Source organism: Homo sapiens, chromosome 5, assembly GCF_000001405.40.
Source record: "Homo sapiens chromosome 5, GRCh38.p14 Primary Assembly".
In the NCBI taxonomy this organism is placed as follows: Eukaryota; Metazoa; Chordata; class Mammalia; order Primates; family Hominidae; genus Homo; species Homo sapiens.
The window spans coordinates 103,601,239-103,618,571 of NC_000005.10; the positions used below are offsets into that span (position 1 = coordinate 103,601,239).

Sequence of the window (17,333 nt, forward strand, 5' to 3'; positions counted from 1 at the left end):
TTGGTTCAGTTAAAGGCACTGAATTACTTCATGTTCTATTTCAATGAGTTTTGTTTGGTAACCACTTACTTAAATAATCAAAAATATTTATGAAAAACACCTACATGCTGTTTCTTACCAAAACAGTTATTTTAGGTGCTTATTGTTAATTTAAAGGAGTATTTAAAAATTTTGCATTATATATTTGCAGTCTCTAATTTCTTTCCTTCACTGGAACCAGCAGATGGCACAGAAAGTTAAACTTTATGTGTTTACCATGGAAAAAAAGGTGAATGTTCATTGACCTCTAGCCTTTTCTCCTGGACATAGTAATATCCATTCTTAACAGCTTCAGCTCTATGCTGCTTGATAGACTTGTCACCAGTTCCTCGCAAAGTTGCCACATAAACTCTACTTAAGGGTGGAAGGCGTGGAACCACTAGCCTTTTTCTGAGGAGCATCTTGCTTCTAAAAAGCCACCGTAGAGATGCTGATGGTGAGAGTGATGTCGTGTGTGTAGATACAGATTCATCTTCTGAAGACATACATTTCTTTTAATTTAGGAAGATATAGTTTTTTAGGCAAAAGGACTGGAGGAGAGGAACAATTTGATGATTCAAATTAAAAAGGGAAAGACACTACTGTGTGTCATATTTTGGCAGGCCGGGACAGAGGGATCAATGCACCTTTCACATTTTTCCAAGGTGAGAATTGTACTAACTTTAAGGTAAACTGGGAGAAAGTATTAGTTGATACAATATGTTTTTAGAGTAACAAGTTTTTTAGCAGGGTTGAATAAGCATCTTTCTATGTTAATCATTGAAGGGAAACCAAAATAATTATATTTTTGACTAAGAATAGAACTGCAAATTGTGCCACTATCACCAGCATCTAAAGAAATATATAAATTAAAGTAAGTCCGTGATTATATTTGAGTCTCAAACATCTTACTGTTAAAACCTATGGGAAACAACCTGGTATTACCTCATCAAAGAAAAAAAAAACCCTATTTCTTAACAAAACTTCCATTCCAGCCTGGTTTCTCTGCTTCTTTTTACAGCAAAAGTCCATGAAAGAGTTATCTACACTTCCAGTCCCCAAATCCTCTCTTTGTATCTCTCTTATATGCACTCTTCTCAGGATTTTGCCACCCCACATCCCACCAAAGTTGCTCTTATCAAGGTCAACAAAGACCCTCTGGCGCTAAATTAAATTCTCAGTACTCATCTTACTTGACCTATTAGCAGCATTTTACACAGTTGATAATTCCTATTTCCTGAAAATGCTTTCTTCACTTAACTCCCAGGACACCACACTTTCCTGGATTTCTTTCTGTATTACTTCATGTCTTGTCTGTCTCCACTTTTTTAGTTTGTCTTACTTATCCTGTCCTCTTAATGTTGCTTTGGCAACTCAGACTTTGGACAGCCCTCTCTCTATCCTTCCTACTTTGCTGATCTCCTGTGCCTCATGGCTTAAATATTATCCAGTGGTGACAATTGCCAAATTTGTATCTTTGGCTCAGACCTCTCCCATGATTTCAGGACCATATATCCAGCTGACTATTTGAAAAATCTATTCAGATGTCCAATAGATATTTCAAAATTAACATATCCACAAATGGATTCTTACTTTTGTCCTCCCCACAAATTTGCTTCACTCATAGTCTTCCCCATATCGGTGAAGGGCAACTTCAACTTTCTACTTGCTCAGGCCAAAAATCTTGGGGTCATGTTTGCCTGCTTTCATTCTCTTAGTTTATATCCAATCTATCAGAATATACCTTGCCTCGACCTTCAAAATATATGCAGAGTTTTGCCACTTCTCAAAATCTCTGCTACTCCTTGGATCTAACCTACTGATATCCCTCGTTGGGATTGTTGTAATAGTTTCCTAACTGGTCTCTAATTTTTATACCTGTTCCTCTCCAGTGTATTCTCAAATAGCATTCTGAGTTGTCTTGTTAAAATGTAACCCAGAGCAGTTCATTCTTCAAGTAAAAATGCAAGGGCTTTCTATTTTTTTCAGAATCAAGTCCTTACAATGACTTTTACAACTCTACTGGGCCCCTTTACTTCTCCGATATCCTCTGCAACACTTTACTGTAATCACATTGGCCTTCTCATTTTTCCTTGAACCTACCAGGTACTATCCCACATCAGGACCTTTGAACTGGCTTTTTGCTTTTCCTGAAATGAATTCCTCCAGATAACATGTATGGTTCTACCTATATTGCTCTTCAAGCCTTTCCTCACTTGTCACCTCTTCAATCAGGCCTATTCCAAGCAAGTCATTTAAATTTGCAACCTCTTTCCCTGTGTACTCCAAAGGTACCTTAGTCTTGGTCAATTTTCTTTTCTGCAGCATTTTTTACCTTTTAATATTTTTTATATGTGGCAGAAATAATGGTTTGTACCACTCAGTAGATTGCTAGGCTATCGTCGTAGGCCTCTTGCATTTGGGTGGGGCATGTAACTCATTCTTGCCAATGGAATGTATGGGGAAGTGAAGTATATCATCTCCAGGCCAAGATATGTAAGTGCAGGTATTCCTTCTCCATATTCATTTTTTCTTTCTTCATCTCTTGGCTAGATGCAGATGATTAGTGGGAGCCTCGCCTAACTTTCTGAATCACAGTGCAGAAGGATGTCCATAGAACACCTAGTTGGAGTGTGATATGAGGAAGAAAGCAATCTATATTGTGGCCCAGAGTATTCTGATTAGTTAGTGCCTGTGCTGATGTAGAACACTTCAATATCACTCATAGGCATACAAATGGATAGTGTATTCACTTCAAACAGTGGGCTAGGTGATAGCTATTAATGGAGGGGAGTAGAAATAAATAAAACAATACGGATATTGTAGGCATGGTAAACAATTTTGACAGTTTCCTTAAATGAATTCAATAAAGATCATATGCCTTCAAGATCATTAAGAATTGACTACAATTTTGGCTAGTTTGTCTGAAAATTTATATCTTACAACTTTGAAGAAATTCAAAGACGTTTTCTTTTTTAATATTGTAGATGTTTATAAGCAGGCATTTAACTTAAACAGTTATTCTTGACAACATAAGTTTAAACAAAACCCTAATGAATACATGCCTTGTTTTCTTAGCCATGGCAATTTTCATAGTCATGACATGCATGCTAACATGTGATCTATACCCTGCAGATTAACAGAAATGAATCTTAGTTGGGAACAGATTATGTCAGATAGGATATGGCAGAGACAGAAAAAGAGAAGGTTCTACATTCCTGAACAGATGGAGTAGTATATCTTAGGGGCAGGCATGAAGCTGAATTCCAGGTGAGGCAGAAATCTTAGATAATGAGATAAATAGAACAAGAGAAAAAGATCTCTGACCCTACTATAGATGTCTGAGCCAAAAATTGGGAGCCAATTATTATATTTAGGGTTCCAGAAACTAAGTAGATTTTCAGGTAAAAAGAGAAGAGTGCAGATGCTACTGAAGTTTTGAGTGATGGTGGCAGGAATATAGCAGACATTTTCACCATTACTACCCAATAAGTGCCACCAAAATGCTGTATTAAAAAAAGAAAGGGTTGAATAAGCAGTCAAGTTTAATTTATGGATATAAAAATGGCTAACAATCTTCAGTTGTTTAATGTGTTAAAATATGTTTGATTATACCTTGGTGGTAATCTGAACATAAATTTTATTTTCATAATTTCAACTTGCTCTTGTTTATGTGAGCCAATTTTGGAAAATGAACGGTACATATAATGACATCTTGGGATAAAAAGTAAATATATTATTTGTGCTAAAGCCACTTAATTAACAGTAATTTAAAATAATCAGTTTTTAAAAAGGGACAACATTATTTTAAGAGACATGTGCATTATCCCTTTGTGCCCAGAACTACCAACACTTAGTGTGCATAAAAGTGACCATGAGTGTCAATATTTTCAAAGTCCACGGGATGAGCGTGTTTCTTCAAAATGCAGAGAATTGAAATTTTCATATGCAATCCCATATGCTTGACTTCCTAGGACAGGAAAGTAGGGTTTGCTTCGAAATTGAACAGTTAGGAAAAATCTGGATTATATACCTGCTCATTTTGTGTGGAAACAGACATTTGTTTCAAGAAAAACCCATTGTCCACAGCCTCTGTGATTAGGATTCAATGCCCAAGTGTATGGCACTTTATTAGTAGGAATGAGGGATGAGCAAAGTTGTACTTACTCACTTTTGCTCTGTTGGATCCGGTTGTGTTCTGGTGGTAGCATGGGGGCAGTGTTGACCCTTACCTTGCTTGCTGAAGATAACGGTGGCTGGTGTTACTGGCCTTTTATCAGGTTTCTCCATATTGTCACCATATTACCCTCTCACAGTCCATAGGCAGGATGTGAGTGTTTTGATGAATAGTTCAGAGGTTGTTCACTTTTGATCTTATGTTATAAAGTGAGTCAAAGAAAGTATCTTAAGGAGATCACACTCTAGTTACTACACCAGTTAGTGCACGTTTGGTCACACTACGTGAAAGGATAATGTTTTGAGAATTTTGTTTTTTAAAAATATTTCTCTCCCCATGTATTCTCTCTCTTTTTTTTTTTTAAATGCTGGTAAAACATTAGCTGTTTCCTTTCCTCAGAAAAGTTTATGGGAGAGCATAAATATAATAATAATAGCTAAACTTTATTGAACACCTTCTACATGCCAGGGACTTTACTAAGCATTTACAAATGGAACACTTAATTCTCACAGCATCCCCTGAGGTAGGTACCATTGTAATTCCCATTGTTCAGATGAGAGTATAAAGCTGCAGCAGCTACATTATGATTCTGCAAAGCAGAAATTGATGTCCAGCACTTTCCTTTCTAGTGAGGTGTATTAGTCCATCCTTGCATTGCTATAAAGAAATACCTAAGACTGGGTAATTTATAAAGAAAAGAGGTTTAATTGGCTCATGGTTCTGCAGGCTATACCAGAAGCATGGCACCATCTCCTTCTGGGGAGGCCTCAGGGAATTACAATCATGGCGGAAGGGAAACCCATTCATGAGAACTCCACCCCCATGATCCAATCACCTCCTACAGGTCCCACCTCCAAATTAGGGATTACAATTCATTGAGATTTAGGTGGAGACACACATCCAAACCATATCATGAGGTTTCCAAAAGCCAAAGTCCCTTGAGAAGATTAAAATTGATGTCCTGGAAATAGAGAAGAATGAAAGCTCTAAGAGAAAAACAAGATAGAGGAGGATTTTTTTTTTCTTTTTTTTTTGTGGCTAAAGGGAGACTGGGAAAAGGAGAGAGGTTTGTGGATCTCAGAAGCAGCAATAACGTGCCCTTTGCTTCCTGAGCAGGAATTAATATACTATGGCAGAGTTGGAAAATATATACAGCCTGTAGGCCAAGCCCAGTTGGTTGACTGTTTTTATAAATAAATTTTGTTGGAACACAGCTATGCCCTTTTGTTTACATATTGTATATAGCTGCTTTCACCCTACAATGGCAGAGTTGAGAAACTGCCATAGAGGCCATATGGCTTGCCCAAAGCCTGAAATATTTACTATCTTGACCTTTAGAAAAAATGGTTGCCGACCTCCGTTCTATGGTGTGGCTGTCATCATATCTATTTTAGGTGAGGCTACTTTACATCAATCTGATACTCACAAATTATTTTCCTGTTTTGGATGACCCTATTAAAACTCATGCAGTATTCTAAGAGCTGTGGGTTAAGCTAATTCTTGAACAGACTTCTGTGGTTTAATATCATTTTTAAAAAATTAAACTTTATTTTGATTTCTAGACATATGTATTTCATTTACTAGAAGTAAACAAAATTAAAATAATTTTTCTAAGTACATGTACTTAATAATGGTTTATTTTTAATGCCTATTTTGGACGTGTAACTGTTTTTTTAGTATTGTCTCTTGCATACCTCTTCTTTTCTAACAAGCAATTATTACTTTTTTCCCCTGACCCCAGTTTCACTGATTCGCCCTCCCTTGCAGCAATTTAAAATAGTGCCAAGGGAAGTTGCTTGTTCCTGTCTTGAATCTGTCAAGCTGTTAACTAGTTTCTTCTCAGGTGACTGCTGAAGATAAAGCAGGTTTTCAACAACTGTTTCAGGGACTATTTGGTGAGTTTTTCATCATCATTTTCAGCTGCAAGAGGGTCCTGACCAAGAAGAGGTAATACTTTTGTTCCTTGTGCTCTAAATATTTTGCCAAATTGCCATCTTCATATAGATGAGTAACTCTACATTTATTTGGTACAAGCAACAGGGCCCACAGAATAATTTATGATCTAAGTGCAGCTTGAAATAGCAGAATTGCTGTTGGTGCTTAGAAATTAATTGAGAAATCACTGTCTGTAATGTAATGATTTACCATTGTTTTTGAACCATGTTGTGGAACCTAAGAATGTTAATTAAGAATTATGGCATAGTCCAAATAGAATCTGGCAAAGTTTCATGTTGAAGCAAAACAATAAGCTATTAAATTATTTTGCATATAATAGACATTTTCATATTTACAGATTAAGTTGTGATTGATACTATTTAATGTCTGAGGACTTGAATCACACTAATACCACATATTATTCTGTAATTTATGTTGTCTAAGAGATGAGTATGTACCCCTTTTATGAATTTTTTAAAAATTAAAAAGAAAAATGTACCAAGTTAGAAGCACTTGAATGGATTGGAATTGAAGTAAGCTTTAAAGAGGATAATTTTATAAATCAGAAAAAGAGTGGTGCTTTTTAAGGGTTGGACTGATTTGAAAAAGTATCAAGTAAACAAAAATTAATCACGGTGAAAAAGTGAAGATTCATGGGCTGTTTAAAAAATGTGGTCTGTCTCAGAAGCAGTGTATCCCTGAAGCAAAGCTCAAAAACTTTTCTTCTAGGCAGCTACCTGAAAATCCCTACTAGAAGCAGTGATGGTTATGATAATGGCCATTAGTATTTTACAGCATTTTTCAGTCTATGATGCCTTTTCTCAAAATGAAGCTCATTTGATTTTCATGGTATCTCTGTAAGGTATCTTGATTTTCCTAATTTCTTTAATTATACTTGCCTCTGCTTCTATCGGTGGTACTTACCATGGATGTATGTCTGTGTCAGCTGGGATTCCAGTTCAGTACTCAGGAAGTACATCTGAGATTTAGTCGCCTCCCCTTTTTAAATATTCCTAGGTGATTCTAATGCATACTATCAGGATCAACTTGTATAACAATTGAAAATGTTGCCTTGCTTATATTTGTTTTCAAGTTTGATTTTTCTAACTAGGCAGCAATTATTCAATGAATTATAAGGTTATCCAAAACAAAACATATTTATAAAATAAGAGTTCTTTATTTTACACATATGGAAGCATATCACTTAGAAATTAAAACTTGACAGTAAAATTTTTAAAAAATCTCATTTGTCAAGAATTTAATTCAATCCAGTTAATTTAACAACTCTTTAAAAGTAGTAGGTAGACAGCATTGTGTTAGCTGATGCAAAGCCTTCCAAGCTGAGTAAAACACGATCCTTGCCCTCAAAGAGCTCGCAATGCAAAAAGTGAGATAAAACAAAGCAGAATATTATTACAACAAGACATTCTCCAGTTAAACGAGAATTATTACAGTTACCGTAATGAGGCTGTCAATGGTCAAAGAAATTAGAATGCAGCATAACCCACCTGATACCCAAAATCCATTGCATGATTGGCAACATTCTTTTGAAGGCTGTTGAAGAGGTATGAACTCTCCCTCTCTAATGTGTTGGAAACCAGGAGAGTCTGTCTTTAGTGGGAGAGAAGCAGATACACAAAAAATTGAAAAATACAATGGTGTGTAAGGAAAATGCAGATTACAGATGAAGGGAGGGTCTGAGGCAAGTTTAAGTAGACAAATGAGAGTTAAAAGACTAGAAGAACAAGTTAATTGAAAATGGGACAACATTTGGTACTAAATGTGGATATTAGGGTCGTGTGGCTTTGTCCAGGTTTCTGTGTGCTCCCAGAAAATGTTTGCAGCCAGTAGCCTGGGTGCATTTAAAAGGGTTGTGACAGGAGGCAACTTAGAAAGACATACCAAAATATTAATAATATATGGTTAGTTGGATAATGATAAATAAAAGTTATTTTGTATATAGGTAAGGAAATCCTTGAAGTGCAAATTGTACAACAGTCTCAAAAATTGCACTCTCTCTAGTAATTAATTCAGGAGGGGTACTTTACAGCTATGCCTCATGCTGGATCACTATCACGATGATGTTGTCTATTTTTACCATCTAACAAAAGCTTGTCCTGCATTTTTTTTTTTCCTAGCGAAGAAATCTCTGCCAGCTTTGCTAAAACATAGATTTACTGTCTGACATTGTTTTTTCAGGCTTTCACTTTATGAGACTGCATGTGGTTTTGATCCTAATGGAACCTGTTTTTGTTACTATCTTTCTGGATAAGTGGCACCCTATTTTCACTATGGCCTGAGGTGGACTGAGCCAAAGGCAGTACCACATTGTTAGATTTGTGGGTTTTTTTTTTGAGGAAAATACAACTTGTAAAGGAAGGTAGAATCATACCTTGATGAAAGCCTAGGAAGGCAGTATGCTTTTGTAAGTGCTTAGCCTTTCCACTATGTATATTGGGTATCTGGATTTACTTTTTCAATTAGTAATTATTAAGTCTTATTATAGGCCAGGCAATTTTTTTTTCTTTTTTTTTTTTTTTTTTGAGACAGAGTCTTGCTCTGTCGCCCAGGCTGGAGTGCAGTGGCAAGATCTTGGCTCACTGCAAGCTCCGCCTCCCAGGTTCTCGCCATTCTCCTGTCTCAGCCTCCCGAGTAGCGGAGACTACAGGTGCCTGCCACCACACCAGGCGAATTTTTTGTATTTTTAGTAGAGACGGGGTTTCACCGTTTTAGCCAGGATGGGCTCGATCTCCTGACCTCATGATCTGCCCACCTCGGCCTCCCAAAGTGCTGAGATTACAGGCGTGAGCCACCGCGCCCAATATTCTTGACATTAACAGAACATTGGTGAATAAACCAGGCAATAATCCCAAGCTGATATGGTTCAAATCTTTGTCCCCACCCAACTCTCATGTTGAATTATAAGCCCTAATGTTGGAGGTGGGCCCTGGTGTGAGGTGACTGGATCATGGGTGTGAGTTTCTCATGAATGGTTTAGCATCATCCACTTGAAGCTGTCCTTGCCATAGTGCATGAGTCCTCATGAAATCTGATTGTTTAAAAGTGTGTAGTGGCCAGGCGCCGTGGCTCATGCCTGTAATCCCACCACCTTGGGAGGCCGAAGCGGGTGGATCACGAGGTCAGGAGATCGAGACCATCCTGGCTAACACTTTGAAACCCCATCTCTACTAAAAAAATAGAAAAAATTATCCGGGTGTGGTGGCACTCGCCTGTAGTCCCAGCTACTCAGGAGGCTGAGGCAGGAGAATTGCTTGAACCTGGGAGGTGGAGATTGCAGTGAGCTGAGATCACACCACTGTACTCCAGCCTGGGAGACAGAGTGAGACTCCATCTCAAAAAAAAAACAACAAAAAACGGTGTAGTATCTCCTCCTTATCTCTTTCTTACTCCTGCTCTTGCCATGTAAGTTGCCTGCTCCTGCTTTGCCTTTTACCGTGAGTAAAACCTCCGTGAGCTCTCCCCAGAAGCAAAGGCTGACATGCTTGCTCTACAGCCTGTGGAACCATGAGCCAATTAAACCTCTTTTCTGATAAATTATCCAATCTCAGGTATTTCTTTATGGTAATGCAAAAACGGACTAGTACACAAGCTAATCATATTTATTAATCAAGGAAACAAGTACATGAACAACATAATAATTGCTAAAAGAAAACAAAACAAAGGGATGGGACAAAAAGTAATGTGGCATATAAAGAAGCTCTCGGGGTCTGAGTTTTTTAAGCAGTGTGAACCACATCACAGAAAATCAACAGCTGGATAGAAGAACAAGGCTATGTGTGGGAAGACCTGTCAGACAATTCCCAATGTTGACTCTGCAGAAATGTTCATGTGAGCCATCTTTAAGAAACGTCCATGAACCATTAAACAAATATTATCACTTGACAGTTCTACAACGACCTTTCTAAAAACAAGGGCAATTTCTCAACTGTAAAAGCCAAATAATTGATATTGTTCTTACATTTAGTTCCTTTCTATTTTCTGGGGGGAAAAAGGAATTCAGCGGCAAGTGAGGACATTGCATAGAAAATCTTTTAAATCTCTAATTTCCATAATACCCCAAGGAAGGAATACAGACCACTGCTAATTGGGTACTTTCTAGGAGTTGGAGTCAACCTGAAAATTAAGAATCCTAGTAGCAGTTGTTTTATTTACAATTTTTTTTGCACTATTTGGAATTTAGCTTTGGACAAAAATATCTTATCCCATGTAGATTCTTAGCATGCCATTATAGAAGAGAGTCTTAAGTTAAAAATATCTAGACCTAGGTATCATAGCTTATATAGATAAAATTGAAGGTACTGAGCACTAACCACGAACTTAACTGCTGCATAGAAATATTTTATTAATCCATTCTTAATTGTAAATTCTTGATCTAAAAACATATAGATTTATGGGGTTATTATTGGAAACACCTTGCCAGATTTATATACATATATGTGTATAATTTTAAATATATATAATTTCACATACACGCACACACACACACACACTGCACATATTGTTTTTGCTTAGTTCATTCACTCTTTTGAGACAGAGTGTCCCTCTGTCGCCCAGGCTGGAGTGCAGTGGCGCGATCTCAGCTCGCTCAAGCTCTGCCTCCCGGGTTCACGCCATTCTCCTGCCTCAGCCTCCTGAGTAGCTGGGACTACAGGCGCCTGCCACCACGCCTGGCTAATTTTTTGTATTTTTAGTAGAGACGGGGTTTCACCGCGTTAGCCAGGATGGTCTCGATCTCCTGACCTCATAATCCGCCCGTCTCGGCCTCCCAAAGTGCTGGGATTACAGGTGTGAGCCACTGTGCGCGGCCAGCTCATTCACTTTTCAAAGCAGTATTACCCCAGTTTGGCAGATGAGGAAACTGAAGCTCAAACCTCTCAAGTGTCTTGAACATGTTTACAGCCAAACTAGGCTTTTAACACAACGATTTCTGATCCCATAGTCCATCCTTTTTCACTCTGCCATACTGAATTTGGAAATGTTGATGAAAAATAAAGTCTTTTATTGTTTTGTTTCCTGCTTTTGGTAATCAGATGAAAAGTATAAATAAGTTTGCAAGGGAGAAAATTTATTTAATCTACATACACAACAAACAACCTTTTAGACTCTGGAAATGTCTAGTCACAAAAAATTGGCACCCAGAAAGCAAAATGGTTTTATATAATTTATTGAAGCAGAATTTCCAAATAGTTATTGGAAATGTTTTGTTAATCTTGTATAATTATTGTGTGATATGAAGTTAATGAACATGAGCACCCAGGATATTTCAGGATGCACTGCAGGAACCACTGTCTAGCAGTTATTGCCTTTATTCCTGTCCCATTTCACAGACAAAGAACCTGAGGTGCAAAGAATTTAAGTAATTTATGCAAATAAAAAGCTGGGCTTGACTGGCTCCTAAGTCTCAGCCAGCTGTGCTGCTCTAACCTCTAGCTCTTTTGCAGTTAGAAAATATTCACGTTCTTTATAGATGAACAGAATAGTTATTCACTCTTTCAGATGAGACTACTTCTCACCTGGTTCTAATAGTGAGGTTTATCCTGAATGTGGTGAAATCTAGATTCTTCTTTTATAGATGTAAACTTAAATAAATGTTATATATCATTTTTTAAATCCTTTCCCAGGAAATTTTGGAATATTTCAGGCCATTGGAATCATTTAGTTAACTGAAACTTATTATGTGGAAACCTTAAAGATTAAATGCCTTTCTCATTATTTATCACCCAACCTACTATTATACTGGAACAAGATATTAGCAGTTGGGGAAAATAAAACCACTGGCTGTTTGACAAAGACAAATTCCTATACAAGGACTTGTAGGTCAGAATGAACTTCATCCCTAATCTCACTTCTAATTGATTCATAAGTGGGATGGGCTTTTTATTCATATTGCAGTGTAACAACTCTGATAGGGATGATGGCAGCCAGAGCTTTGAAACATTGTGCTATAGTTCATCACTCTGATTTCAACTTTCCAAAATTATTTCCCTTTCTACTACTGGAAATGTTTTACTTTAAACAAAAACTTTGAGTTCCCGGCAGGTTTCATACACATTGATTTGGTAATCCATACAATGAGTGCATGATTTTAAATTGTGTTCATTACTGCAGCCTGTATTCTCAGCAACTAGATAGGTGGTCGCCAAGAAAGCTAGCCACTAAAAGTGGCTGACTCAGAACAACTCAAATTGCATATCACTTTGAGATACTGGTAGCACGTTAAAAAGCATTGTTCTTATCAGTTCCTACGAGCTAAAAAATCTATGTGTTTTTTGTTTGTTTGTTTGTTTGGGGTATATTTTTTAAATGAGAAAGTATTTGGAAAAAGAAATGAAACCACAGAGATCAACCCTGGTTTTCTTTAAGTAAAATGAATGTCCTGTTATAGAGAAGGAATATTTCAATCTTGTTGAAGAGGTAAATGAGAAACGATGTTTCACTGTCAAGGTGTATCTTGCACATTTGATGGAAAATTACTGAAGAGAAGCAGTTACATTTCAGCATCTCAAACCCGTTAGGAAGTGAGAGCAGTTTCTCTCTGTGGAATTGTTACTGTGAGAAACAGGCTAGCTTGTAACACTGGGGTGCTTGATTTCAAGCCCAAGTTTATATTGGGCCTTCAACAAGGTGTGGAACTGTAATAGGATGTGGTGGTTTGATATAAGGTAGTTTATAAGTCTGATCCTTAAAAGCTCATGACATTCTGCTGAGAATTTTCTGCTCTGATTTTTCTCAGGTAAAAAATGTAAGGGGGTCATTGTCAGACACTCCAAGTTGTTAAACAAATATGAAGCAATTACTACTTTATGGGCACATTTTCTGAGTGTCTCTGCTATGGTATATCTTTGGCAAGCTTCAATTGCTGGAAAAAAAATCATAGATATACTGATACCCATGATAACTTCAGAATAGTATAAACCATCTTTAATTATCTTAGAGTACAGCTGTCCTACTCATGTTGTTTTCAGAAATGAGATAGGAATAAGACCAATTATAATAAGACCCAAGGCTCCTGGGATTTTCTTTTCACTGGGTAAGATTTCTGGAAAATCCTAATTTATCTGATTTAATGTCTGTGAGAAAGTAATTTCCAGCCTACAACTAGTTCTCATACAGATATTTTTGTTGCCTTACAAAATTCTGTGTTTCACAGTCTCTAATTACTGTTTTACTGACATGCAAATAAAGATCTATAGTGATCACATTTGTCCCAGGCATGCTTGCTTTGGCAGACCCCACTTATCATATTAAACAGATTCTAATTCTAATGCAAATATTTGAATCATCACATTAAATATATTTTTGATAAAAAATTTTAAGATAATTTTACTTTAATGGAATTAGTTATTTCTTTTGCCCTGGAGATTTAAATTTTATTATGTTTGTATGTGAATTGAGTCACAGGTGACATAACATTTTTGCAGCTATTACTCAAATATCTCATTAATTTTTAAATTTTGTAGCCACTGATATATAATTATTTTCAGGCCCTTGGAAAGCTCAAAGAGTCTCTTGTCTGTGTCTGTAATACCTAATGTAAAAAATGATCCTAGTTGTGCAAAGCTAGTCTAAACTATTGATATTCTATGCAAAGATGTAAGACAGCCACTGCAATGGTAGTTTCATGGTTCTTATAGAAAAATTGATAAGTGTTTGCTTCCACTTTTGTCAGAAGTAATGTTGAAATCCTTAGGCCACTTGAGACAAAATGTTGTCACCTTGAGGATAGTGTAACTGACAGGATCAGTGTTGAAAATCCTATGTGAAATTGCTACTTAATATGGAACAAGTATCATTTTGATACCAGCTTTCAATCTAATAGATAAAATGATCATTGGTTAATCATGCACACACACACATTGTTTAATCACACACACACACACACACACACACACTTATGTATATATAACCTATTCAAGCTAATTATATTATATACCCCTTTATAAACAGGAGACAGAAGGCTTTGTTATCCCCACCTTACCACACCGTAGACACAGCAGATTAAAAAAAGAAAATAAAAGGTTAAACCTTGTGGATCAAAGATGAGGCAGGCGATATAAAATGGATTAAAGTTAAAATGAAGATAAATTGCTGAAAGCAAACAAAGACATGAGAAAATGCAAAAAGCTTTCAAGGTTAAATAGAGTGATAATCTCAAAAGCCAAATGAATTTAAAAGTTCTTTTCGGTTTTATCACAAACTTTCACAAATAAGACCTTAAAGAGATACCTGGGTAAATATGATGAGCTGCTGCAATAGTTCACCACAGGAATACCATATCTATCATCTAATTACTTTTTTCTTGCAATTTTTCCTCTATTTAAAACAAAAAAAAAGATCCCTCAGTTCGAGACCATTTTAATGAATTATTGATATTTGGGTCATGTCAATACAATGCATATTTAATTTTAATTTTAATCATTGGCTGTATCAAATGTAGATGCCATTTATTAATTTGAGAAAGAATAAGTTGTCTAAAAGTGGCTAACACCCTAGTATAGAGTTCTGTGCAAATATGGCTGGGTTTTGTGTTTAATGTCTACATAGAACTACTAGTTTTCTTGTGGCATTAGCTAGAAATTTTCTCCTTTACCTGTTATTTTGTACAGTTTCTGATGGCTTTTGGGTGACTCGTGGCTTGGTCCCTCAGTGGCTTACCAGCCAGCAGTCCTTTGTTTTGTATCTTAGATTATTTGATGGATTATCAAGGTAGTGCCCAACTGTATTAGAAAGAAGAGCTATAAGCAAAATTATGGTGAGCCTCTTAAAACCCATAAAATGAGTGAAAAGACTTTTGATCACATGTAATATTTAGGAAATATCCTGGTAAAATTTTAGTTGTGTAAGAAATGACAAGTGCATATACTACATCAAGCCTTGGCTACTGACTCATATTTTATGTTGGTGTTGAGTATTTCTGGTTTTCAACAATGCTGAATTTGATTTTTTTAAAAATAGGATAATTGGGAAGGGGATTATAATAAAACTTAATTTAACTACTAAAACTTTGAAAGGTCACAAAGCTCTTCCTGTGGTTTCAAAGAGAAAGTATGAATTGTGCTGGCATTATTTGATTTTTTAATAGAAAAATTACTATGGGAATTTTATAGTTTAATGATATTGTGGATTAGAAAAATATTGTAACCCAAATTAGAGTTTGTGGAAACCAGAATGAATAATTTAGTTATTCTGGAGCTGAGAACATGAATCTTGTTTCCAAATGGAATGTGGAGTTACTAACATGGAGAATAAAGGAAAATAATTCATGTTAAAATGATTGTTAAAGTTCAGGACAGTAGATGTTCAAGAAAGACAGGCCTTTTTAGTCATCTCTTTATTTGTGAGAAATGACTAAACTCTTTTACCTAATTAAGGTAAAAACTCAAATCTAAAAGAGATATGAATATATATGGGGCCACCCATTTTTTAAAATATGGGAATTAGGCCAGAAAGTTGTTAGGTAATAGTGACTGCTAGCCTGTGGTGGAGCTGGGAAACAATTTCTAGACAATCAGACTAGTCCTGCTCTGAGAAAAAACACAATATAGATTTAGCATGGGTGATGTGGGGAAAGGGAATGATCAGAGAAGGTTGTAGATGATAAGAGTGATACTGAACTCTTATTCTGGATCAGTTAGAAGTGGCAGGGTTTGCATTTAGGAAATTTCAGATAATTTAGAACAGTCTTTCAAAGTGTGCTACTTGGCTCCTTGGAGTATTTAATATGAAATTAGAAGGTAAATGGGCACAGCATTAAATAACACTGAGCCACACAGAAAGAGAAGCACCCTGTTTGCAATTTTTTCTTCTAATTAGTGTGCAGAAAAAAACAAGTCAATGTGGTGCTAATATGTACTTAAGAGCTCTCTAGCACGTGTTGATCTCTCTATTTAATAATTAGAGAGCTGGCCTTGGCAAGCAACTGCATCTAGCTAGTTGTTTTGACACATTTTATGACACATGATATTGATTTTTCCCTTACAATAGTGATAGGGAGTTTTTATCTTAAAATAAATTTATTTAAGTAAAAATAGTGATTCCATTTAAACTAAAATATTAAGTACATAAGCATCTAGACTTTAAAGACACAAGTCATGACAGCAGTATGCAAATGAAGGGAGTTTGACCAACATTGATCTACGAAAGATACTTCAAGCCTTCTTTTATTTCTGAGAGATTCTGGAGGAGTTTGGTCAAGCACTACATGCCAAGAACTCTTTGGTTGTACCTCACCTTTTTAATGATAGGAACTCTATTTACTGGGAAGGGATGTAAAACTCCCCTTGTCCAGTACTAGAAAAAACAATTTAAAAAAAATGGCAGCTTGGATAGACCATGGATTTGTGAAGACAAATGGACCACTCCTAAAATGAAAAAGAAACTTAATACTATCTTCACCACCAGACACTTAACACTTAGTGATTGTACAAATTAGTTTGCAATAGTAACATTTATAGTATGAAAATGAAAAAAGCAATGGTTTCTCCATTGACTTTTTTACATACACAGTTCTTATACAGCTTGGGCATTTGAAAACAAACTATATTTGATTAAGTGTAGTTGCAGAAAAAAATAGCTAAAATGCGAGACCTTAAACAACAACCATAGACATATTCCCTGATCTTTAGTAAATGGTAACATAAGCATATATAAAGCATGTTGCCCTGAGAAGGCAGTGATTCTTGAATAGTCTGGAATGTATTTGGCAGGAGTTAACTTCCCTCCTCTGACTCTTGTTTGCACTTTTCTTACCAGACCAGGGTCATCTAAGAAATTAATACTCAGCAAGTTTTATGACTTTTCAGCAACTCATAAATTTAGAGGTTGCTGCTTAAGTGGACAGTGAATGTGAATGGATTATTTTATGAAGACTTTGAGGCCTCTAATAACTTTCTGTAAAGATGATTTGATATATTAAGAGAGCTTTCGCACAGCTGATTTATTTATTGAATATTTTTTACCATCTGCACCATAGGCATTAAAAAAATTATTTGAGTCCTAAACATAGAAGTAGCGCCCAGGCGTGGTGGCTCACACCTGTAATCCCAGCACTTTGGGAGGCTGAGGTGGGCGGATCACTTGAGGTCAGGAGTTCAATACCAGCCTGGCCAATATGGTGAAACCCCGTCTCTACTAAAAATACAAAAATTAGCCGGGCATAGTGGCTGCTGCCTGTAATTCAAGC

At 36.3% G+C, this 17,333-nt stretch overlaps 1 long non-coding RNA gene across 1 annotated transcript in view; it reads left to right on the forward strand.

The window, feature by feature from the left end:
* Positions 1–5,993: 5,993 nt before the first annotated feature.
* LOC105379107 (uncharacterized) overlaps positions 5,994–17,333 on the forward strand; it is a 339,090-nt gene continuing 327,750 nt past the window's right edge. Inside the window, exon 1 of the long non-coding RNA XR_001742831.2 lies at positions 5,994–6,142. This is a non-coding gene — a long non-coding RNA (uncharacterized LOC105379107). The remainder of the gene's footprint in view (positions 6,143–17,333) is intronic.